Consider the following 23,963-nt stretch of genomic DNA (forward strand, 5'->3'; position numbering starts at 1 on the left):
AACAAAGCCGGGCCCATGCCCCACCCCTCTACCCGCCTGGAGGGTCTCACCCTAAGCTCCACTGGGCTCGGGCTGGAGGCTCTTCAGCTGCTAAGGAGTTAAAACCTCCCTGGAAATTATCCTGTAATGACCTAATTAAAGACTTCGGGCCACCTACTCTGGGGTGAAAGCTAATAACACACGCCCAACAATAATAATCCCAGCGGAGCCCCCCTGTTATTGCCGCAGCCTGGCCCCTTCCCACCAACCTCAGCTGACAGTCTCCCCTGGCCCTGCCTGTGCAAGCTGTTAGTGACTGGGGAGGGGGGCAGAGGAGGGCTCAGGATGGGACCAAGGGGAGAGGCCCAGGATAGTCAAATTTCCATTGCTGAATATTTAATGAGGCCCATGCGGTTTATTTGGTTGGCCTGTCGATTTTTATTCTTCTGTCAATAGCTTCTCATATGTGGGGCTGTGATGATCTTTAGCAGGGCCTCTCCAGGGACGGCTGCCACTAAATGCAATTATGGATTTTATACCTCAATGTGTTTGATATTTCCACTGATCTAATTTGCAGCCTGGTAGTTTATTGTTTGGCATTTTAATGGCGCTCAAATGCTATGGGAAATTTGATTTCTTTTTATAATTCCTCCTTAACGCAGTTAATGCGGGTGGCGGGATGGCCCAGATTTTAGAGCCCAATGTATAGAAAGAAGAAGGGAGGAGGAAAAAAAGAGAACACCCCGTTGTATATATTTAAAGATGTGTCCGTTGAAGGGGGAGCCCTTTGGGCCCTGGGTCCCAGATGCCTGCTGCTTCCAGAGCGGGGACCTCTGAGGACTGGCCTAGGGAGCTGGGGCTGAGGTGTGGGGGTGCTGGTGGTGGTACCAAGGTTCAGTCAGAGGGACCAGCGGGCAGCCCTGTGCCTCAGGTATCCTGAGCTCTGCACCCTGTAGGCCTTGGTATGGGACCCCTCCAAGTGGCTTCAGGTGACTGTCCTACCCAGTCTGGGCAGCTGCAGAGCCAAGAAGGCCAGTCCTTCCACTGGCACCAGTTTTTGTGACCTGTATCTGAGGGCAGGGGCTGCACCAGTCCTGGGCCTTTGAGGGTGGGGGTGATTCTGTGACATGCCTGTCATGTATGTGACAAGTCCTTGTGGGGTCTCACCATGTTCACCAGATGTGTCCTCTTCCCAAGTTCCCAGGCCAAGGGTATCTCTGCCTCTGTACCCACCTGTACCTCTCCTTCTTGTCCTGGCCTCCTTGGGAAGGGTAGGTGTGGGAGCATGGCCAGGATAGGCCAGGGCTGATCACTGTCCCAGAGCTCGGTTCCAGGCTGTGCTGGTCCTTTTTTCAGGCTGGACTGAGGGCAGACAGGATGCTGGCGTCCCAGAGCAAGCTGGAGGCTCCCACCTCTTCGGGCAGTTCCCCCAAGCTAAGCTTCCTGCTTTCCTGACAGTGAGTCCGCAGGCTGGGTGGCCAGCCAGGGGTGGCCTTCTGCCCTCAGATAGCAGGGTGGGGTCAGAGGGGACACTCGGAGAGCCATATAGCAGGACAGCTCGGGCCAGACTACCAGCAATTGTTCTGGACTTTCTAAAACAGCCTCTGGGGAAAAGGAGTTGAGAGAGACTCCAGAAGCACTTCCAAGTGACCTGCCTGGAAGTGACCAGGGGAAACGGTCCAAGACGAGTACACCGAGTTTCTCCACGAGGCACAGAGCTGAGTAGGCAACCTGGCACGGGGGCATGTGGAAGGAGCTGTGGGAAACAGCCTTGGGCCTTCTGGGGAGGTCTGTGCAGGCTCCTCTGGCCTGTAGGCCCCGAGTTCTGGTCTGGAAGGTCCCCTTTCCTGGAGCACAGGGGAGCCTGAAGTCCAGGCCTCTGAGATGATAGTCATAATTAAAGCTGCTGTTGACTGAACACTCTCTGTGTGCTGAGCACTGTACTAAGTGCCTTGCAACCATCATCTCTCTGCATCCTCAGGAAGCATAGGTACCATCAGTATCCTCATCTTATGGAGGCACAGACTGAGGCTCTGAGAGTTTTATGTCACCTGCCTGAGGTCATAGCTAATAGCAGGAACAGGACATGAACCCATGTCTGCATATCTTCATGGGCCCTGCACTTAGCCATGGTGCCTGATAGTATGGTCTTCTCGGGCCTGAGCTGGGCTGGGCTGGGTTAGGCGACCACCCCCACCCAGCTGGGTTCCTCCCTGTCTTGCCACCTCCCGCTTCTGTTCAGCAGCTCAAGTTTCTGTCCTTGAGCCAGTCCCTCCGCTGGAACCCACCACGCTGCTTGCTGAGCTGCACTGGGGAGGCTCTTTCTTCAAGGGGACTCTCTTCTCCCTCCTCCTGGGGGATTCCAGTCTCACCATCTCTCCCAGGTTTCTGCTGGATCCAATCCACCTTCCACACAGCTGCTGTCCACAGCACCCAGCCTCTTGCCACTCACGCGTGAGCAATTGTGGTCACAGCTGATGTGCCCCCATCCCAGCGAGGCCCTGGGCAGAGCACTTCACCCACGTTCTCTCAGAACTCTGTGAGATAGGGACCAGCTTATCCCCATTTTACAGATGACGCAACAGCCTCAGAGCAGACCCATTCCTGCTGGGGTCCTAGCTAAGATTCACAGCTTCCCCCAACAACCCCTTCGAAGCCCCCACCTGGAACAGTTCTTCCACCCCACAGCTCTGGTGTGTCTCGTGGCACCTAATGCCAAGGCAGTTTGTGCTCATATGTGTGTCCCTGGCCAGCCTAGGAGGCTGGAGCTGAGTCTGTCCTGCTCGCAGTCTGCCTGCTGCTGCTACAACAGGGCCTGGCACACCCGGGCCTGGGAAAGATTCCTGAGCACGCAGCTGGCTGAGCGGACCTGTGAGTGCATATGTGTGTGTGAGTGAAGTCCCCAGATCCTGTGTCCCAAACCTCTCCTCACAGCCATTCCAAGATCTCCTGGCCCCTTCCAGAGAGATTGCAGCCCTGATGCCAGGGCTTCAGGTGGTTCACCGTCTTTCTTCCACCCGCCCTCGGTGCTATCACCAGAGCTTCAGTGCCACCCACACTCCCACTTCCCCTGTCTACACTGTTTCCTCCACCAAGAATGCTTTTTTCCTTCTCTTCACCGGGCAAACTCTGCTTCTCCCAGGTCATCCCCCGAAGAGCCACCCCAGGTTGCCTGGAGGGGCTGGCCCTGCCTCCTCTGGGCACCCCCAGCTGTCCCAGCCCTTGTCATGTGGCTTTGCCACCGTCTCCCTCACTGCATGGGTGTTCCCGGAGGGTGGGTCTCTACTGCCATAATATAGACACTGGGGAGGGTCTGCTGAGTGAATGGAGTGAAACAAGGGGGAAGAAATGCTTCTGTTGATCATCTTAGATCATTCTCCTTGTCTTGGAGGCATGAGACAGACTACCTTTCTGCTCATTCAGAAATTCCCACCCTGGGGTGGAAGGGAAAATGGACTGAAACCCCGTCAGCCCTGGTTGTGGACAGGGACCCCGTCCAGGGATGATGGATCTGCAGCCCGGGAAATCGGGAATTGGCCTCACCCTGTGTCTGGGTGTTAAGTGGACTGCGCTCTCTTCCCACCCCCAGTCAGTGAAATCAGACCTGAATAATCTGATGTTCCACTTAGGAAAGAAAACAGGATTCCCCAGCCTGGGAGGAGCTGAGGCTGCAGTGGGCAGGGGCACAGCTTGCTGGTGTCAGTATCAGCCATCAGGGGCCTGATAAGATCTTCACAGCTTGTTATCCCGGGTCAGGCTGACTTGTGTGCACAGCTGGGGGCTAGGGGTGGAGGCTGGGGGGCAGTTCTCCAGGTAGCTGGATCAGCTCTCAGTAACCTGCCTGTGGTGAGGTGAGGAGCTGGGTACTTTCCAGACAGCTGCAGGAGGAACTGGGGGTCTCAGGGCCTCTGTCTGCCCCTGGGAGCGCCAACTCTCTTTGAGGCTCAAGTGCACCTTTGATAGAGCCAGCAGAACAGATGAATGGGGATGGCATGGTGCAGTGGGTCATGCAGACTCGGCAGTGTGACCCTGGCTCAGTCACTGCCCACTGTGAGTCCTTGGGCAACTCACAAAACCTCTCTGAACCTCCGTTGCCTCCTCTCTAACTGGGGAGCACAATCTGTACTCCCCTAGATTGTTGACAAGATTTAGTGATATCCTGTTTGTCCCTGACACAGCTGAGCAGCTCAACAAATTAGGTGTACATAGCAATCATTCATTATCCCAGCTGGGACACTTTTGGGCAAAAGGGGATGTCATTAGTAATTATGCTGGGACCACAAGTATAAGCCAGGACTGTCCTGAGCATCCTGGGATCTCTGGTCACCTGTCAGTACAGGGCCACAGGGTGTGTCCGTGGACTCCCTTGTGTTTCCCCAGTACTTGGTGGTGGTTGAAGGGCTTCTGGGGTCTTGAAAAGGAATTAACTCGAATCAATACTGTATAACCTTTATGGAGCACTTCTTGTGTGCCAGGCACTGTGTTTTCTCATTGAATTGTCACAGTAGCCCTACCAGGTAGACGCCACTTTCATGCCCACTTTGCACATGAGGAAACTGAGGCTCGGGGTCAAGTGACTTGCCAAGGTCTCACAGCCAGAAAGTGGCAGAACTAGAAACAGGTCTGGCCAGCTCCACCAAGGGAGTCTCAGTCACTGGCCCGCACTGCCCAGCAGCAGAGAGGAGAAGAGGCCCGGCTGATAAAGGCCATCTGGAGGCCAGGTGGGAGTCATCTCACCCTGCCAGGTAACGGGGCTGGTGGGCCCGCGCTGGTCTCTCCGGGTCCTCGGTGTCCTGTGCCCCCACCGGGGGGTATCTGCTGAAGTCGTTTCCCAGGCTGGAGAGTCTCCCCCATCAGCTCAGCAGCTGTCAGGATTAAAGAATGAGATGAGGAGAGAAATCCATAAAGTGCGAGTTTGGAAAAACCTGTTTGTTGGGTGAGCTATTGATCGACCGACTGGCCCTTCCCAAGTCAGCATTTAAGCTTTAATGGCCAGCAGAGGATGGTGGAGTCAGGCTCAGAAGAGGGAGGGGGGAAAGTTCACTCTCTCCCACACTATTCTTCTCCCGCATAACTGGCTCCCTTCTCTAGGACGGGGGTAGGGAGTGCCCGCCCTTCCCGCAGCCTTAGGACAGTTATCTTTGGGGATCAATTGTTCCCTAGTCTAAGGCTCCTTGTTTAATTCTGCAAAGCCCCATGGCCCCCTGCATTGTGGGATTATAGAGTGAAATGCTCAGAGTGGTCCCTCCATGAAACAGGGCTCGGGGAAGATAATGGCTTTGCCCTCTGGCTCAGCCGAGTGAGAACTCTACTTTGCCACTTCCTGGCCGTGTCCCTGCCCTTCCCTGAGCCTCGGCTTCCCTGTCTGTAAAATGGGACCACCACCTTCGCAGGGTATGTAGTCGGGGGTTGAAGCTGATGGAAGTTCCTGGCTGCAGCTTCCTTAGGCGGGAGCTGGTGGAGACAGGCGTGTTTCACCTGGGATTCTCTCAACCAAGACAGGCCCTTTCAGCAATTCTGTTGAGTTCCTCAGAATCCCTGCCAAGCGCTGACAAGGACGGAGGGCCTGGGGGCTTCTCCTGCCCTCCCAGCCCACCTGCTGTCAGTCTGCCGTGATAGAGCCCCCACCCTATGGAGACACTCGGCTCCCCTGTCCCACCTGGCCCAGCGGCATAGGCGTCCTGCCACGCTGTGTTGTTCCAGCTCGCTTTGAATCGCGTTCATCTGGCTGGGTTCCCCCCCTACCACCCACCACCGCCCCACTGGAGGTCCATGTGGAAGACCATCGCTCAGACCAGGGATCTCACCTCCCAGAGACCACCTCTCCCAGACACCACTCCAGATGGGCACCTTTCTCCAGAACTCTGCACTTGATCCCTGGCAGACCCGTTCACTGGCATCTCCCCTGGGCCTAGTCAGCCCTGTGGAGGGACACAGGAAGGACTCAGACCCGGAGCCTGTCCTTGGGGAGCACCCAGTCTTGTCAGTCTTGTGAGGGAGACATACATGGGATCCCAAATCCCTGCTGTACTTCAGGTCTGTCCTCCAGCCAGGCAGGGAGCAGGGCCATCTCTAACCCACCCCTTCTTGCAAGGGACATCGTTCCCAAGCTGAGCACAGACTGAATTTCAACCCACTCACTCCTCCGAGGAGCATCTTGTTCAGTGAACAACCTACACAACCACATAGGGCAGCCTGCTGGGGGAAGATCCTCGGAGGAGAAGTCAACAGTGTAGATCCCTTAAGTCAGAGATGCTGCTGGCAAGGCTGAGGGTGGAAGACCTGCCCTCCAGGAGCCTTGAGCACACAAGGAGGGAGGTCAGGGGATGATGTCTCTGGAGAACCATTCCAGGAGGAGCTAGCGAGGAAGTGGGCTTTGTCCTCGGAATTCATGGATTCCATGTTTAAGAGTTGGAGTTGACTCTCGAGTCCAAAGGGAGCCACAGGGGATTTCCAGCAAGAGAGCTCTGGAACCCCAACTGCTTTGTGGAGGATGGGGTGGGGGAGAAGCCGCTGAGGGAGGGAGGTCAGGAAAACAGCCCCACCGTGCCCCTGAGATAGAAGTCCAGTGAGGGTAGGGCCTGCTCTGGCTCTCAGAACATGCTTGGTACCATATCTGCCACCTAGTAGGCATTCGAGAAATACTTCCTGAGCCGATTATTAAACCAGGGGAAAGGGTTAGAATCCTAGCTCACTTCTCCTCATTTAAGGCCTGAGATCCCTGCCTTCTTGGCAGTGTGATTAGGGGCAGAATATTGGGCTAAACTCTGTTCCTCCTCTCAGAAAACCTGTTTTTGCTCTATGTTGATATGAAGTGACATGTCAGGGTAAAATATGGATGACAAGAGGGAAGTCTGCGTATCTAAAAAAGCAGGAAGGTGTGCCTGATCCCTCCCACTCTCATTTGTCCATCCACCTACCTACTCATCCAGCCACCTACCTATCCATCCATCTACCTACCCATCCATCCATCTACCTACCCATCCACCCATCTATCCGCTTATCCGCCTACCTGTCCATCAATCTACCCATCCATCCATCCATCCATCCAGCCCTCCCTCTGTCTTTCCATCCATGCAGTAGTCACTCAGGATCCACTTCATACAGACCCCATGTTAGGCAAATAAAGATACAGTGAAACCTACAGGCATCACCTGCCCTCGGGGGCCCACAGTCCAGGGGAGAGATTGACTGTCCAGGTGGCCAGGTGCAGCCTGCCCCTCTCCCGTGGGGCCAGAGCCAGGTTGCGCCCCTGTAAGATGAGCCCCTCAGCCCCTGGGTTCTACTTCTGGTGGATGAGCAGAGTCTGCCAGAGACTGTGTTCCCAGAACCAGACTCTTGGTCCAATCAGCAAATCTTTGTCAAGCTCCTGCCCTGTGCAGACCCTGCCCTTTCACTGAGACACAGCAGACAAGGTTCCTGTTCATACTCACCCTCTGCTCCTTGTGCTGGCTCTGGAATCGCTAAGGTACATTGAACAACCGGCTCCTAACACTGAGGTCACAGTCTAACAAGGGGGTAGGGGGTGGAACACACAATGTGATAGGTGCTCTAGCATTAAGGTTCAAGGGGTCGTTAAAAGGAAAGACTAACACATTTTGCTTTGGTGGATCAGGGAAGGTCTTATGTAAGAGGAAACAAATGAGATCACTCTTTTGACCAAATATTGTTTTAAAAATTATTACAAAAGCAGTATGGTGCACACCTGTTCCCAGCCAGTCAGGAGACAGGCTGGCGGATCGCTTGAGCCCAGGAGTTCAAGTCTGCAGTGTGCTATGATGGCACCTGTGAATAGCCACTGCACTCCAGCCTGAGCAACAGAGTGAGACTCCATCTCAAGAAAAAAAAAATGCTAGGAAAAATTCAAATAATACAGACTATATAAGCAAAGAAATGAAAGATCCTTCCCCCTACTCCAAGCCTAGTCCCTGAAGATAAACTCCCTTAGAAGGTGGAATAACTTCCTCTGGACATCGTTCGACACATTTACATTCTGTTCTACATGCATAACTTTGGGACACGCCGGGACCGTGCTGCACATGCTTTTTGGCAGCTTGCATTTTTCACTTGCCCGTTCCTTTCACCTTGGCGCCTTCAGCTCCTCCTCACTGTGCACCGGCATAGTGTTCATTTAACTAGTCCCCTGATGATGGACAGTGGGGTTTGCATCCTGGCCTTTTGACCCCTTGACTTTCACTCAAATCTGCCTGGTTTAAGAATGGTCAGTGGCTCAGGGTGCTGAAGTGTTGTGTGCTTCAGGGGGAAATCCATGACCCAGCAGTTCCTTCCAGGAAGCCACGCAGGGAGGACCCTTGGAACTGATGGCTCCTGCACAGGGCAGTGTGGAGCCCTGGCCCAAGCATGAGGTTACTAGCTTCTTGGGGAAGCCCAGGGATGTTAGCGCAACACCAGGCCCAACTCCGCAAGCCCACACTGTGTCCTTTGGGAAATGAGAAGCCTCGAGCAGCCAGCCTGAGGCAGTTCCAGGCATGGACTGGGTGAGTTCACAGGGACACAGACCTCTCTCCCCAGAGATCCGACATCTGCCTCCAACCCTCCATCCTCCTGTCCCCAGGGAGCTGCCGTCTGTGCCCTCCCACTCTGCTCTCCTGACCCTGGCAGCTCCCTGGGTGATGGGAAAGGCAGCTTTCCAGCTGGTGGCCCTGACTCTATGCACAATGCATTTTTATTTTTTCAGCACGTTGTGAAATTCATAACTCCCAGTAATGACTTCCTCACTGAACTGGGAAAAGGGAAGGGGAGAAAAAGGGCCTATAAGAAAAATGAACCGTGGCAGGCGTGGACTCCATTTGTAACAATATGGAAATTGATCGTTGAGTCAGAGGAAAGTTTGCTTAGCTGTGCTCGGCACTAATAGCCGGGAACATTAGTGAACCCAGGGAATGAGTTATAGGCGCATTAAGGAGGCTTCGAGGCTCCCTAGCCTCCCTCGAAGGCAGGTCCCAGCCCTGCGGGTCTGCCCACCCTGGCACTGGCTCCTTCCTGCCCTGGGAGAACCAGGCCAGGCTCTGTGCTAGAGAAAAATGCAAGCACCATCTTGATGGAGTGTTGGGGGCGGGACCCGGCTTCAAATCTCAACTCCTCCCTCCTGTGAGCTGTGGTACCCAGGGCAGGTGACTTGGCTTCTCCCAGTCTTGATTTTCTCATCCGTAAAATGGTGTTAATTATCCATCTCAGGGGGCATGAGAGGACTGGGGACGATCATTAATATAAAGCAAGGAGCACAGAGATTGGGCATGTTGGTGGCACAGCAAGCTGGATGGATAGATCGATGGACAGGTACATGAGTGATGACTCTTCAGGTGAAGATGAGGCCTGGAATCTGGGGGATGCTGGGCTGCCCGTTGGAGGCACCAGGGGTGGCAAGGCTGCCTAGGACCATAGAGGTTACCAGGACTGAGGGGGCTGTGACAGTAGGGACTGAAAGTTGGGACCAGGTAATTGGGTGGAGGGAGGCAATGGCTTGCAGCCTCCTCTGCACGTGGTCAACTCCCAGAGGCAGAGCTCCACCCGGATCAGGCCATGCCGCACGGGAAGCTCTGCTGGTCCTTTAGAAGCAGCATGATCTGAAGTCATGGTCCTTACACCCGCCCATCCAGAACCTGGCCTGCTTGCCTGCTTCCTGTCTTGGTGAGAGGCACCTACCATCTTCCCAGGTACTTAGGTCTAAGCTACCTGTATCTTCCTTGTTGCTCCCTCTCCCTCACCTACAGGCTGACCATTTGACCCCCTGACCATCACTCAAATCTGTCCCCTTCTCTCCGTCCCCTTCACCTCCCCTATCCCAGGCCTCCCCATCCCTCCTCTGAACAACTGCATCAACCTCTTCCTGGCCTCCCTGCCTGCTGTCTGCCTCCCCGGCCCTGAAGTCAGAGTGAACTTTTTTAAGGTCTGACCCTGTCACTTGCTTGCTTAAAAGCCTTCCATGCTCTTATCACCCTTTCAGGGACTCAAGACCTCTAGGAATCTTCCAGAGGCATCTCTCCTGCTTTTCCTCCCTGCGTCCTCCCAGCCCCGTCCCTTGTGTGCTCTAGAACCAGAGTTCTCCAACTCAAGCAGGCCTCAGAATCCCCTGGCAAGCCTGTTCAACTATGGATTGGCACCGCTACTTTCCCAGAGTTTCTGATTTAGTGAGTCTGGGCTGGGGCCCAAGAATTTGCATATCTAACAAGATCCCAGGTGATGCTGAGGCCACTGATGGGGGAACCTCATCTTGAGAACCTCTGTTGTTTTATTTTTATTTTTTTGAGACAGGGTCTTGCTCTGTCCCCCAGGCTGGAGTGCAGTGGCGCAGTCTTGGCTCACTGCCATCTCTGCCTCTTGGACTCAAGTGATCCTCCCCATCTCAGCCTCCCAAGTAGCTGGGACTATGGGCATATGCCACCATGCCTGGCTAATTTTTGTATTTTTGTGTAGAGACCAGGTTTCGCCATCTTTCCCAGGCTAGTCTCAAACTCCTGAGCTCAAGCAATCTGCCCACCTTGGCCTCCCAAAGTGCTAGGATTACAGGTGTGAGCCACCGAGCCTGGCAGAGAACCACTGGTGCAAGCACAACAAATTTTGTACTGTTCTCAAACATCAGTTCCATCCCTGCTTGCGAAGCTTGGCACCTGCTGTGCCTGCTGTTGAGAATGTTCCTTCTTCCCCTTCTCAGCTTGGTGAGCCCCTGTTCATCCTCTCCTACATCCCCCAGCAGAGGCAGCAGCCAGGAGCCCCTCTGTTCAGCAGCCTTTTGTCTCTGTTTGTCCCACATGCTGGGGACTCCTGAGCCCACTGAGGAGGGCTGGGCATAGGAGACTTCAGATAAGGAGCTTCCTGCCCTGCCCCGAAGTCGGTGGCATGTTCTGGCACGTCAAGTGAGGGACTTGGCCGCCAGGGATGTGGGCCATCTGTAGGGTCACAGACCTTGGTCATCTTTTCTAGGGGCCAGAGGGAGCAGAGGCCTCTGGGAAGCCGAGACCAGAGCTGCAGCTCTGACCGGTCAGCTGAGAGGCAGGCGGGAGCTCCGAGGGGGCAGCCTTGTTTTGTTTTAATCATGGGTGAGATGCTGATGTGGCCCTCCCTGGGGACGATAAAGGGGAGGCCAGCCCCATGGGCGGTGGAGGCGCTTCTGCAAACAGCGAGGGAAACCCGAGTCAGCAGCGGCCAGGGAGAAGGACCAGTTGTCCTGGAAAGAGGATGTTAATGACACCGGAGGGCAGCGGGAAAGCCCCAGGCAGGCCTGGTGGCCCCCTCGCTCCTGGCCTCTCGGCACTGCCCACCACTCAGGCCAGCCCCTCTCCCTTCCTGAGGCCAGTGTGGCCGGGGCAGGCAGGAGCCCGCTAGGAGCCTCCAAGCCGCTGGAAGTTGTTGGCTGCAGCAAAACTTGCTGCGCATCCTTTCTGTGGGTGCCCTGGGCGGCCCTCGGCAGGCAGGGAAACTGCTCGCCATACCTATTTTAAACACCAGTGTAATGGTTTATGGCCCATAGAGGGATAATTACGGAGTGCAGAACCCAGCTTTTATGGCCCCTCCTCCCCGGGGCACACTTAGAGAACAGTATGTGTCATGTAGCCAATTTAGATAATGATTCTGATAAAGATAAACGGAATTGTTTATTATAAGTAATTGAGTCTGCTAAGGCCCAGATGAGGCGGTGATGGGGAAGGACTCCTAGGATGTGGGGACATGGGGACAGGTCCTGGATGGGGCTCCAGGGTGGAGGAGAAGGGCCTGCCCCTCTCTCCCTCCCCATCTCTCTCTCTCTCTCCCTCCCCATCTCTCTCTCTCTCCCTCCTTCTCTCCGTGCTGGGGCTGACTGATCCTCCTCCATCCCGGGCAGAGGCTGCTCCTGGGCATAAATAAATCATGGGGTTTTCTGTTGAGTCAGCTGAGTGGGGGAGGCACCTGGAAGGAGGGACTGGGGGGGGTGGCTCCAAGCTGCCCCGGGAAGGGCAGCCTGGCCTATCTGTCCCCAGACCCCGAGGGCTGCCATCCTCCTCAGCAGGCAGCTGGCAGGTGCAAGGGGTGGGGCACAGGGGGCGGGGGTCAGCCCAGAGCTGAGACTGCAGGGTTGTCTCAAGGGGACAGCGGCCTCCTGTTGGGGGTCTTTGTGAAGGATAAACAAAACGAAGGGCCTTGGAGCCCACCTTCTTCTCCCCCCCTCCCAACAACACACACACCTGAGACCTCTAATTACGCCTTAGCCCCAGGCAGGGCCATGGGAACGCTGCCCTGTAACCCACTGCCTGACCCCTCTCCCCTGGGCCCCGCTCCTCTCCTGAGGCCGACTCAGTTCTCACTGCAGGGAGGAGAGGGGTCCCACAGACCCAGATTCAGGAACATGGGGTGCTCAGAAATTAGAGCCTCTGAGAACAGGGTCCCTGTCCCCAGCATCTCTGAGATGAGGATCCCACAGACCAGGGTCTGAGCTGGGAGTTCAACAGGCGGGGTCTGCTCTGAGGAATCCGACAAACTGGTGAGTCCCCTATGAGTAGGACCCTACAAGCCAGGGGCCTAGGTGGAGGATCCCACAATCTAGTTTGAACAGGGACCCTACCAGCCAGGGCCATCGAGACAAAAAGAAACCCAAATCAAACCACAAGCCTCGGTAGTGGCCAGAGATGGGGGGGGGCCTGCCTGCGGTGGGATACTCCAAGGCTTGGGGGTCCCAACAGCCAGGACCCTTGAGGCAGGGTCCTCACAACAGAGATCCAGTGGCCCCTCAGACCCAGGTGGAGGGGCCCGGCTTGGCTGCCTGAGGCTGCAGCTCTCCCGATTGAAACCCAAACCGGAGGAGCTGCCTGTCACGGTGCCTGTGATCCTGTGATCCGAGGCATGATTGAGAGGGGGCGCGGCAGGAGGGGGCTGCAGGCCCCCAGGCAGCCCCTGTGTGGAGCAGCAGGAGTCTGAGGAGGAGAAGGGGGGGGGGATTTTCTCTTTCTTCCCGGCCTGCTTATCTGATCACAGAGGAGGGAAGGGCTCCCGTTCAAAGGCAGTCTCCTTATCAGCTGGGGGTTTGTTTGGAACGATAACTGCACCTGGCAGGGAAGCCTTCCTGCAGGTGGGGGTGCGGCCGCATGGGCGGGGCTGGCTCCAGGGTGTGTGTGTCCACACGGGAACGTGGCTACCGCTAATGCTACGTGAATGTGCATCCCATGGTCTTCGTGTGTGCAGGTCTGTCCTCCGTGTGTACACATCTCCAGGCCAGTTTGTGCTCCCACCTGTGCGTGACTGTGTGTGTGTGTGGATGGGCACAGAGTACATCTGCCCTCGGCACAGGAGAAAGAAGGGACTCAGATCTGGGCCTGGACTGGACTGGGCACTGCTTGGCGTCCACATGATGGGGGTCCCTGCCAATCCCACCCATGTCCTGTCTCCAGAGTGAAGTACCTGGAGCCTGTGGGAACAAGGGGATGGGTCAGGAGCAGAGGTTGTGACATCACAGTTCACTTGTGGGCACAGCAGGGACAATGGGGAAGAGGCTCCATGGATGCTGAGGTGTAGCCCCAGCGGGTGTTGATGGAGAAGAAAAGAGCCTGTGGAGAGGCCAAGGCACGGGCCAGATCAGGGGAGCAGGATGGGCCAGCTGAGGGCTGGGCAAGACTGAAAACAAACCCAGCAAAAGGGCCCAGGGTTGCCTGAAGATAGGAACAGAGCGGTGCCTGGGTCTTTTTGTGCTAGGAGCTGATTTAGCTTAAAACACATCCCCCCATCCCAAACCCAAACCCATTCCCCTCTGTGTTTTGTTTTGTTTCAAGTAGATGCTTTTTTTTTTTTTTTTTTTTTTTTTTTTGAGACAAGGTCTCACTTGGTCACCCGGGCTGGAGTGCAGTGGCACAATCACAGCTCTCTGCAGCCTTGACCTGCCAGGCTGAAGCAATTCTCCTACCTCAGCTACCCCCGATGAGCTGGGACTACAGGTGAATGCCACCACATCCACTAATTTTTTGTATTTTTTTGTAGAGATGGGGTTTTGCCATGTTGCTCAACCTGGTCTCCAACTTCTGGGCTCAATTGCTCTGCCTGCCTTGACCTCCCGAAGTGTTGGGATTACAGGCTTGACCCACCATGCCTGGCCCTAAGTAGATGCTTTTTAATTCAGCTTTTTATTTTGAGATAATTGTAGATTCATAGGCAATTGCAAAAAATAGAGAGGTCCCTGTACCCTTTGCCCAGTCTTGCACAGCCGCGGGACAACATCACAGCTAGGACGTCCACGTCAACACAGTGCCGACTGCACTTAGACTTCTCCAGTGTTGGGTGCGTTTGTGCATGGAGCTCTGTGCCAATTTATCACATGCGAACGTTCCCGGATCTGCCCCCACAGGATCCCTCCTGTTGCCCTTTCATGACCACACTCAGCTCCCTCCCACCCTTCATCCCCAGCCCCCTGGGTTGTGTTGTGTTGTTTTGTTATTTAATCTTATTAAATGGCACCTCCACCTCCCAGGCCCCCAAGCTGAACATTAGGACGTTGTCTTGGTATCTCTCATCTTTACTCCCCACCCCCTGCATCAGGCCAATGGTTGGCCATCCAGGCCTGGACATTCACTCTATTAATCATTTCTGGAACTCTCCCCTTCTCTCCATTGGACCTGGACTCCCAGCTCCCAGGCTTGGTCTTGCCAATCCACCCAGCACTCACTGCCATACCCCGATCCCCTACAGCTCCACCATTCTTAGGATAAGAATGTGGAATATGCCGCTGCTGGGGCCCTACTCATCCCACCAGTCTCCACTCTCTGTGTTTGTTCCAGCCCTTCTGAGCCACTCCCGAGATGCCACACTGTCCTGGCTGCGCCCACTCAGGCTTCCTCCTCTTGGGCAGCTCCTGCCCTTGCGCAGGTTTCAGCTGAACGTCCTATCCCGGGAACCTTCCCTGACACTCTGCTCAGGGTTGCTGCCCCCTGGCTGGGCTCCCACAGACCCCCATGCCTCCCCCACTCCAGCCCTGATTTCACGTATTGTCATGGTCTGTTTACTCAGCAGCCTTCCCCAGAGACAGCAAATAACTTGGAGGCAGAGACTGTGTCTGGTTTAGTGTGGTGAGCCTGTCTATGAGGTGGGGAACGGGCACCTGAATCTAGTTTGTGTGAATGATGAACAGGTAGGTTGGTGGTAGGTACCAGGTTGGCCTGGCATGCCCACTTAGGGTGGAGGCAGCCAGCCAGGGGCTGGAGCAGGTAGAAGGAGAGACTGTTTGCTTCTCTCTTGCCCAAACTGTAGCCACACATCCCAGAATGGAGCCTTCCCCATGTGCCCTCTGTCTTCTCCCAGTGACTCCACTGCCGAGGTCTGAGCACCTGGCTCTAGAGAAGGAAACGAGGAGCAACTGCTGAGTGCCTGCTGGATGCCAGACTCTGAGCATGCCACGGAGAGCCAGGTGGGCCCATGAGAAGAGGAGAGGGTAGGCTTGGTATCTCTCATCTTTACTCCCCACCCCCTGCATCAGGCTAATGGTTGGCCATCCAGGCCTAGACATTCACCCTACTAATCATTTCTGGAACTCTCCCCTTCTCTCCACTGGACCTGGGCTCCCAGCCCCCAGGCCTGGTCTTGCCAACCTACCCAGCACTCACTGCCATACCCCCATCCCCCACAGCTGTGACACCCAGTCCTGGGTCTGTTGCTTCCTGTTGTGACCTGGGGCAAGTCCCTTTACCCTGTGAAATGGGGCGGTGGTGTTAGGATCTTCCTCATGCACTCCTGGGAGGAGCAAAGGAAGAGGTGATGAGAGTGAATGTGACGAAGACTTGTGCTTTTGCCATGGGATAATCAACTTTTTGGAGGTGCCCAAAGATGCCCTGGCCTGGGGCCACTGTCAGGAGGTTGTCCGCAGCTCAGCCCTGACCACTGCTTGGCCTCAGAGGCCTTGTGAGCCTTGCCGCCTCACCCGATGTGGTGGCCCCCTTCGATGAGGGCATCTGAGGGTCCTGGCTGCCCTAGACCACCCCTCCAGCACTGGAGGCAGTGGCAGGTGCTGGAGGAGAATGCCGGTGGGGGTGAGGGAGCTGGCCAGGGACACCTGCCCAGCACAGAGGAATTCTGTCTCAAGAGGGAAGACAAACAGATGGTAAGGGGAGCTTTAAGGTGACCGTGTCATGGAGTGGAATCCCGGCTTTGTCCCCTACTAGCTGAGAGGCCCTCCACGTGGTAAGCAGCAAGGAGGGAGAGGTTTCTCCTGTTTTGTTCACGGATGTATTCTTAGACCCAGAGCAATGCCTGGCACGTAGTAGGGGCTAAAAAAAGTGCTTGTTGAATGAATGAATCAACCTTGGGTGAATCACTTTGCTAAGCTTCCCTTGGAAATGGAGATACAATGATACTGTTTGTTTTGTTTTAGGTATTGTTTTCATAACATAAAATTTCACATAACATAAAATTCACCATTTTGAAGTGTACAATTCAGTGGTTTTTAGTATGCTCACAAAGTTGGGTGCTGCTGTTTTGATCATTGAAAGTAGTGCCTGGCTCACAGCTGCGCCATGGATGTCAGGTCGTCTTTTCGTTTATGATGCACACCTGCTACTTCCCAAAAGGGTATAGACAGCTTCCAAGAGGAGGCGAAGAGTCAGTCAGGTTCTCAAAAATAAAAGCAGAGGATCAAATCCCTAGAGTGTACGGGGGAAGTATGTCAAATGCCCAGGCCAATCTCCACTGAAGTAGAGGATTAAATTGAACTCTGAGCATCCTAGCAGCCCAGGTGGAAGGAAAAATGGGATGAGAGAGAGAATTCACATTGTCTGACCACAGGAGGCTGATGAGTTCATTGGGAGAATAGATATATTTTTACCAAATTTATTTTTTGCAGTTTCCTTAAATGAGGAATGGAAAACAGACAGGTGTCAATGAGCACCTCTGTTGAAGTGAAATATTAAACAAGATCTTCAGGCCGGATGCAGTAGCTCACACCTGTAATCCCAGCACTTCGAGAGGCCAAGGCAGGCAGATCACTTGAGCTCAGGAGTTCAAGACCAGCCTGGGCAACATAGTGAGATCTGGTCTTTAGATAGATAGATAGATAGATAGATAGATAGATAGATAGATAGATAGATAGATAGGATAGATAGATCCTCAGAGGCCATCTCCCCAGGCTCATGGTTTCAGACAGACAAGGACGAAGGCCTCAGAAGCCACTTGGAGGAGGCATTTCTGAAGGCCACTGTACCGAGGAAGGAAGGGATGTGATGCCTCAGGGAACTCTTGGGACATGGGGAGAGGTGGGAGCCTAGCTGGAGGGCAGTGGTGTGTTCCTCCTGCCCATCCCTCAAGCCTGCATGCTCTCAGCAGGTGAGAGCTGAGTTCTCTGACATATGAGTCTAAAACAGTTGACTGCAAGGTTTCTCAGGCTCAGCAGGTTGATGTGGTGGGTCAGCTCATGCTTTGTTGTGGGAGGCTGTCCTATGCATGTAGGGTGTTCAGCAGCATCTCAGCTGCCACTCACAGGATGCCACTGGCACCGCATCCCCCAGTCCATGGCCATCAAAAATGTCTCCAGACATGGCTGAATGCCCCTTGAGGCAAAATCACCTCTAATTGAGAAGCACTGAGTAGGGAAAGACACCAGGCCCTCTGACCTTCTATGTGCCAGACCCTCAAAACTCCCTCTATCCCAGATCTGGCTTTTTCCTATTGCCTGATGAAAGAAGGATTCACACTCTTAGGGGTGGCCCTGGTCACCTAACACTTGCCTGGCCCTACTGCCACCTTTTAAGCAGCACTTGTGCAATTTTTTCAATATTTTATTGCATTTTGTTCTGAGATTTTGAAAAAGTAAAATAAGTGAGAACTGGGCAAAATAAAAGCACTATTACTAGTAAGAAGAAACATTTTTCCCACAAAGGTAGACATCACCAGCTTGGCAAAGTGAACATAAGACTGTCTGATGGTGAAGAGAAATAATGACATTTAAACACATAAATATGGTAGAGCATAAAATGCTGGCAAGTATCTTTCTTGGTCAGGTATCTGATATGACGCACAAAATGCATGAAATAGGCAAAGCATATTTGAGAATCTGACCCTACTTTCAGTTCTCTGCAAGCAGAACTCTGCTTATGTGCAAGTCTGTTCCCCAATGGTGACATGTTTCCAGGATCACCTTATCCTTGGGAGCAGGGGATGCCTGCCTGCATCTGGGGTCAGGACTGGGGTTGGGGGGAGAAGATCCACAGACTTTGGATCCTGGAAGCCTCCTCAGGGAGGCTGGCTGGGCATCCTCACCACAGAGCCCTTGCCATTTCCACAGGGGCACGCATGCCCTGGCTCTGCAGCTCCCGGGCCAGAGTTTTGGAAGTGGGAGAATCTTGATGCATCCATTCATTCATTCAGGCAAGCATTCGGCCACTAGTGAGGACTTGCTTATGCGCCAGCCAGCGTATGAGATGAAGAACATACCAAGATAAGTCAAGGAACCGCAGGGAGCTCCCAGTTTTGTGAGATCACCTAGGGCTGTCCATTTCTGTGATGCAGGACATTCCCTGCATGAGGGCACCCAGCCTAGGAGTGAGTTGGGGACTGGACCTGGCACAGTCCTTTGTCTGGCCAGAAGAAGGGGTGCCTGCCTCACTTAGCAGCACAGTCCAGGGTGGGCTAGCCGTCCAGTGATCAGAGTTTCCAGAAGAGGCTGGGCAAGAGGCCCTACTTAGGTCCTTGCTTGGGGGAATAAGCAGTGGGATGGGGAGGTCTTAGAAGAGGGGCCAAGGGACCTGAGTGGGAACAACCAAGCCGGAGACTCCTGGGTATGAAGGGCAGAGAGGGAATCCCCAGCCAAGTGCAGAGGTCAGGGGTCTGTGTCTGGGGAATGTGGGGGCTGGGTTGTAGGAGTGGGACAGGGCAGGAGGGGGGTGAGTCTACAAAGGGTACCAAATGTCAGGCTTGGGGTTTGGAGAAAGGGAGTCAAGCCTCTAAAATGAGGGAGGGACTTACTAGCTCTGGATCCCTTTGGCCAGGGTGTGGGGAGTGGGTAACAGCAAGCCAGCCTCAAATTCGGCTGGCCCTCCCCCTGGCTGCCGGGCCCGGGCACCCCTGCTGCTGACCCCCTGCCCTCCCTGCCGCCTGCCAGCCCCCTCCCTCTGGTCCACATTCCCAGCTCCTGATTAGATTTGGGAAGGACTAATTAGATATAATTCATTATCCTCAAAAATGAGATCAGAAATCAGGAGCTCTCCTCAGAAGAAGGTGGCCTCGCCCCTCATCCATCATGCCTCTAAGTAACCAATTTAAAGGCAGGCGGCCGCACCCGGCAGCGTTATTACCTTGTCATAAATAGTTAGGGGAAGGCCCCCGAACGAGGCAGCTTTATAAATGGCTTTTATCACATTAGTTTGCAGTTATTTGTCATCCACTTTGCTTAAGATAAATGCCGAACAAATAATCAAATTATCAAGCCAAAACCTGGGAAAGTCATTTGCATTCATTGCAGCAGGAGAGACCGGGGGTTCAAATTCAGAAAGCCCCCTTGCCTGTATCAGGCCTGGTTTGCTGTGGAGAGAAGGAGGACTTCCTGGGGACATGAGAAGTCCATACTGGAGGCAAGAGGCACCCAGAAGCCCCACATAGGATGGGGCAGGCCTGATCCAAGGCTGGGATACAGGGTGGGAGGGACCCTTCAGGGGGCTGAGAGGCGGGTGTTCTGGGGCTGGGGTCTGCCGAGGTATCCTCTCCTTCATGCACGCACAGAGAGGCATGCAGACGCTCAGACGCACTCACAGGCACACTTCTTACTGTCTGTTGCTGGGAGCCAGGGCCTTTTGTCTAGCCCCAGAAGGGCCCTGTCACAGGCCTGAATGGGCCCCCTTCCCCCATAGAGAGTGACAGCTTCAGGCAACTCATGCCCCAAGCCTGTCTGGTTCTTGTCCTGGCCACCAGTGCTGGGCAGGTGGTGAGGAGGGTCCCAGGCCTGGGCAGAACGTGTCCAGGGGCACTGCTGACCCTCTCCCAGCTGGGCTGGGAAGGCGCCCTCCAGCAGCGGCTCCTTAGTGGAGAATGGCAATTTCACGCTGTCCCCAGGAGGCTGTCCTGTGCTCCAGCTGGGCCAGGGCTAGGTCGGCCCTGTAGGCCCCCATCCCTCCTCATCCCAGCAGGGCGGGCATGGCCCATCCAGCCTCTCCACACATTCTCAGGCCAGGGGCTCTGCTGGCTCTGATGATGCTGGCTTAGCTTCAGAGGTGGTCCTGTGTGGGGGTGCCTATACCGGCCTTAGAGATTGTCCTGTATGTGTGTCTATACTGGCCTTAGAGATTGTCCTGTGTGTGTGTCTATACTAGCCTTAGAGATTGTCCTGTGTGGGGATGTCTACACTGGCCTTAGAGATTATTCTATCTGGGGGTGCCTACACTGGCCTTAGAGATTGTCCTGTGTGTTTGTCTACACTAGCCTTAGAGATTGTCCTATGTGGGAATGTCTACACTGGCTTCAGAGATTATCTTGTATGTGTGTCTACACAGGCCTTGGAGATTGTCCTGTGTGGGAGTGTCTGCACTGGCCTTAGAGATTGTCCTATCTGGGGTGCCTACACTGGTCTTAGAGATTGTCCTGTGTGTTTGTCTACACTAGCCTTAGAGATTGTCCTGTGTGGGGGTGTCTACACTGGCTTCAAAGGTTGTCCTGTGTGTGTCTACACTGGCCTTGGAAATTGTCCTGTGTGGGGGTGTCTACACTGGCTTCAGAGGTTGTCCTGCGTGGGGGTGTCTACACTGGCTTCAGAGGTTGTCCTGTGTGGGGGTGTCTACACTGCCCTTAGAGATTGTCCTGTGTGGGGATGTCTACACTGGCCTTAGAGATTGTCCTGTGTGGGGGTATCTACACTGGCTTCAGAGGTTGTCCTGTGTGGGGGTGTCTACACTGGCCTTAGAGATTGTTCTGTGTGGGGGTGTCTACCCTAGCCTTAGAGATTGTCCTGTGTGGGGGTGTCTACACTGGCTTCAGAGGTTGTCCTATGTGTGTGTCTACGCTGGCCTTATAGTTTGTCCTGGTGTGGCCAAGGCAATGTAAGCTTTCTGTGGTCCGTGTACAACTGCTTGGAGCTGCCCAAGAAGTGACTTCTAAGGGCAGTGTAAATAGTATAGCAATGAATGTGGATGCTGCAGCCAGGTGGCCTGGGGTCAAACCCCAGCTCGACTACTGTGAGACTTTGGACAAGACACTTACCCTCTTTGTGCCCCAGTTTTCTCATCTGTAAACTGGAGTTAGTAGCAGTAGCCACCTCCACTGGTCACTGTGAGAGTTAACTGAGTTAACATTGTGAAAGGCTTGTATCAAAGCCTAGAACATGGTAAACCCATAGAAGAGCTTGGAATCCATGTGAGGGGGATTGCAAAGGCTGATGTGAACCCTTGGGGTGATCTCCACTGAACTCTACTATTTATCTGCCCCTTCTTTCACCTAACAACAGTATTCCCTGAGCCCGTAGTGTGGCTGTGGCGGCAGCTCCAACCAAGCCAGTTGAAGTCAATGCCTACTGTGGTTCTTGGGTTGGACTCAACACAAATGATGAAACAGGCAGTGACAGGGCATTTTGGGAGACGCCATGATAGGGGACCCACAGGCAGCTGCTGGAGAGTCAGAACAGGAGTGCTCAACCAGTCAAGGGACCCCACAGAGGATGTCCCTACAAAAGCAACGTCTAAACTTAGAGCTGGGATCTGGGATGGGTAAGAGGTAGCCAGGGGAAGAAGAATGGAAATTTGGAAAACATCCCACATGGGACAGCCTCACACAAGGCAGCCTCTAACCGTAGTAGACACGCCCATACACAGGACAACCTCTGAGGCCAGTGTGGATGCCCTGACACAGGGCGACCCCTCAAGCTAATGTGGACACCCCACGCAGGGCGACCTCTCAGGCCAGCGTGGACGCCCCACGCAGGGCGACCTCCCAGGCCAGCGTGGACGCCCCACGCAGGGCGACCTCTCAGGCCAGCGTGGACGCCTCATGCCTGGCCCCCTTCAAGGCCCTGTTGGCTTCTCTCCAGGAACTCTGTCTGTCGGGGCCAGAGTGGGTTTCTGAGCAGTTGGACAGACTAGGCAGCCAGGATGGGGCAGCTGCTCTGGGTATGGTGGGTGGAGGGCCACTGTAGGGGGCACAGAGGCTGAGCCGAAGCACATGGTCGCTGTCTGTTTGTGGGGCAGCAGGAGCAGGTTTAATGGGCCAGCCCCGGAGGCCATGGAGAGGCGGCTTTCAGAGGAACCCCAGACAAGGGAGGCCCCTCCCTCCTGCCCCAACTGCCCCAGCTCAGCTGGGCCACCAGGAGCCTGGGGCTCTGTGGAGCCCTGTGGGGCCCCGCCCACCCCTCCCCACCTGCCAGCCTGCAGTGTGGCTGCGGGGCCCGAGTTGAGCAGGCACCTGAGAATGCCAGGCCCCAGTGGGAGGGGCTTGGCCTGCCCCTCTCTATCCTTGGAGCCCTGAGGGTTTCCTGCAAGGTGTGGCCGCTGCAGAGGGGAGGGGGACACCTGGCCAGGCCTGCAGCGCCCCCTGGCCCAGTGGCCCCTGCAGCCCTCAGCCGCCTCAATCAGTCATCTCCCTACCCTCTGAACAGCTGGTGCTTCCAGGGAAATTACCTAATGAATCAACAATGCAGGGATTGTGGAGGCGGAACTGCAGCAGGAAGGGGCCTTTCTCCCATGCTAGGCCCACTAGGCATGGGACACCTGCGGGGCAGCCGAGCCCCCTGCACCCCTCCCCCACGCAGCGCCCTGCAGAATAAAGAAAGCTGGAGTCAGACAGACACAGGGCTGCTGCTACCAGTCCCTGCTTTGCTGTTTGCCCGCTGTGTGTCCTTATGCAAGTGTCTTTACCTCTCTGGGCTTCAGGTTTCTCGTCTGTACAAATGGGGTTAATATGGTGCCTTGTACTGGGAGGCTGTGCTGATTAAGAGTAGTGGCCCCTGTGTGGTGCTTAGCATGAGCCTGGGGCAAGTGACTGCTCAGTACCTGGTGGTTTAATAATAATAATGATTATCATTACTATACCTTCTCAGGAGACATTCATCTGTGTATAGTTCCCAGTGATCCTTGTCAGGGAATTCCCTTTGAGCCTCAATTTCCTCGGCTGTAAAGTGGGACCAGGATCTGTTTGCTTGAGGGTAGTGGCAGGGACTGGTTCCTGCCCCTGGAGACCTCCTGGCTCCCAGCCCAGTCTGGGAGAGCAGCCCTGAGAATTCTGCAGAACCAGTTCCCTGGTCTAGCCATGGGAGGCTCCCACGCCCTGCCCTCGGGAGGAAGGAGGCCTGCTCCCAGGGTGGGCACAGGGGCCCAGAGAGGTATGGGTGGAAGTGTGGGCTGGGCTGGGAGCCGGTGGGCGGCCTGTTGGAGCAGGCCCCAAGCTGGGCACAGAGGGCCCATTGTTGCTGGGCTCAGCCAGGCCAGGCCCACGAGAGCGGCCACCGCTGCCGGGATTCAAGAAGTGTCTAGACAGGGCAGCCCCAGGCTCTGGCCTAAGCTTCCTCCAGGTGGGGCTGTGCCACCGGGGACATATAGGGAGCCTGGTGCCCTCAGCTCAAATGGGACCTGACAGACAGAGGAGACTGGGGCAGAGGCAGGACTACCCGTCAGGAAGACAGACAAACACAATCCAAACACACTGCTGGCAAGGAGGGTGGCGTTGGCAGTGGTGGCTCACTTGGGATCTGGAGAGGAGCTTGGACCTGGGAGTCAGAAAACTCTGGGTTCCAGTCCTGGCTCTATTGCTGTGCAACCCAGGGCAAGCGAATGTCCCTCTCTGAGCCTTGTTGACCTCAGCTGAACAACCTAAGGCTTAAGAATTTTGAGGCTGGTGCAGTGGCTCACACCTGTAATCACAGCACTTTGGGAGGTTGAGGCGGGCGGATCACTTGAGGTCAGGAGTTCGAGACCAGCCTGACCAACATGGTGAAACCCCATCTCTACTAAAAATACAAAGAATTAGCCAGGCATGATGCATGCCTGTAGTCCCAGCTACTCAGGAGGCTGAGGCAGGAGAATCACTTAACCCGGGAGGCAGAG

The 23,963-nt window shown here is 54.9% G+C and overlaps 1 protein-coding gene across 3 annotated transcripts in view, besides 3 other annotated features; it reads left to right on the forward strand.

Moving 5' to 3' along the window:
* LMX1B (LIM homeobox transcription factor 1 beta) overlaps positions 1-23,963 on the forward strand; it is an 87,105-nt gene that overhangs the window by 25,469 nt on the left and 37,673 nt on the right. The gene's annotated exons all lie outside the window — the stretch shown is intronic.
* Positions 12,779-13,658: an enhancer, noted in NCBI's record as "H3K4me1 hESC enhancer chr9:129414454-129415333 (GRCh37/hg19 assembly coordinates)". NCBI's record gives its function as "activates a minimal SCP1, AML or CMV promoter by ChIP-STARR-seq in primed H9 embryonic stem cells {active_cell/tissue: H9 hESC(primed)}" and the evidence as "EXISTENCE:reporter gene assay evidence [ECO:0000049][PMID:30033119]".
* Positions 14,816-15,315: an enhancer, noted in NCBI's record as "H3K4me1 hESC enhancer chr9:129416491-129416990 (GRCh37/hg19 assembly coordinates)". NCBI's record gives its function as "activates a minimal SCP1, AML or CMV promoter by ChIP-STARR-seq in naive H9 embryonic stem cells {active_cell/tissue: H9 hESC(naive)}" and the evidence as "EXISTENCE:reporter gene assay evidence [ECO:0000049][PMID:30033119]".
* Positions 23,215-23,828: an enhancer, noted in NCBI's record as "H3K4me1 hESC enhancer chr9:129424890-129425503 (GRCh37/hg19 assembly coordinates)". NCBI's record gives its function as "activates a minimal SCP1, AML or CMV promoter by ChIP-STARR-seq in naive H9 embryonic stem cells {active_cell/tissue: H9 hESC(naive)}" and the evidence as "EXISTENCE:reporter gene assay evidence [ECO:0000049][PMID:30033119]".

The sequence above is a fragment of the Homo sapiens genome, chromosome 9 (genome assembly GCF_000001405.40).
Source record: "Homo sapiens chromosome 9, GRCh38.p14 Primary Assembly".
In the NCBI taxonomy this organism is placed as follows: Eukaryota; Metazoa; Chordata; class Mammalia; order Primates; family Hominidae; genus Homo; species Homo sapiens.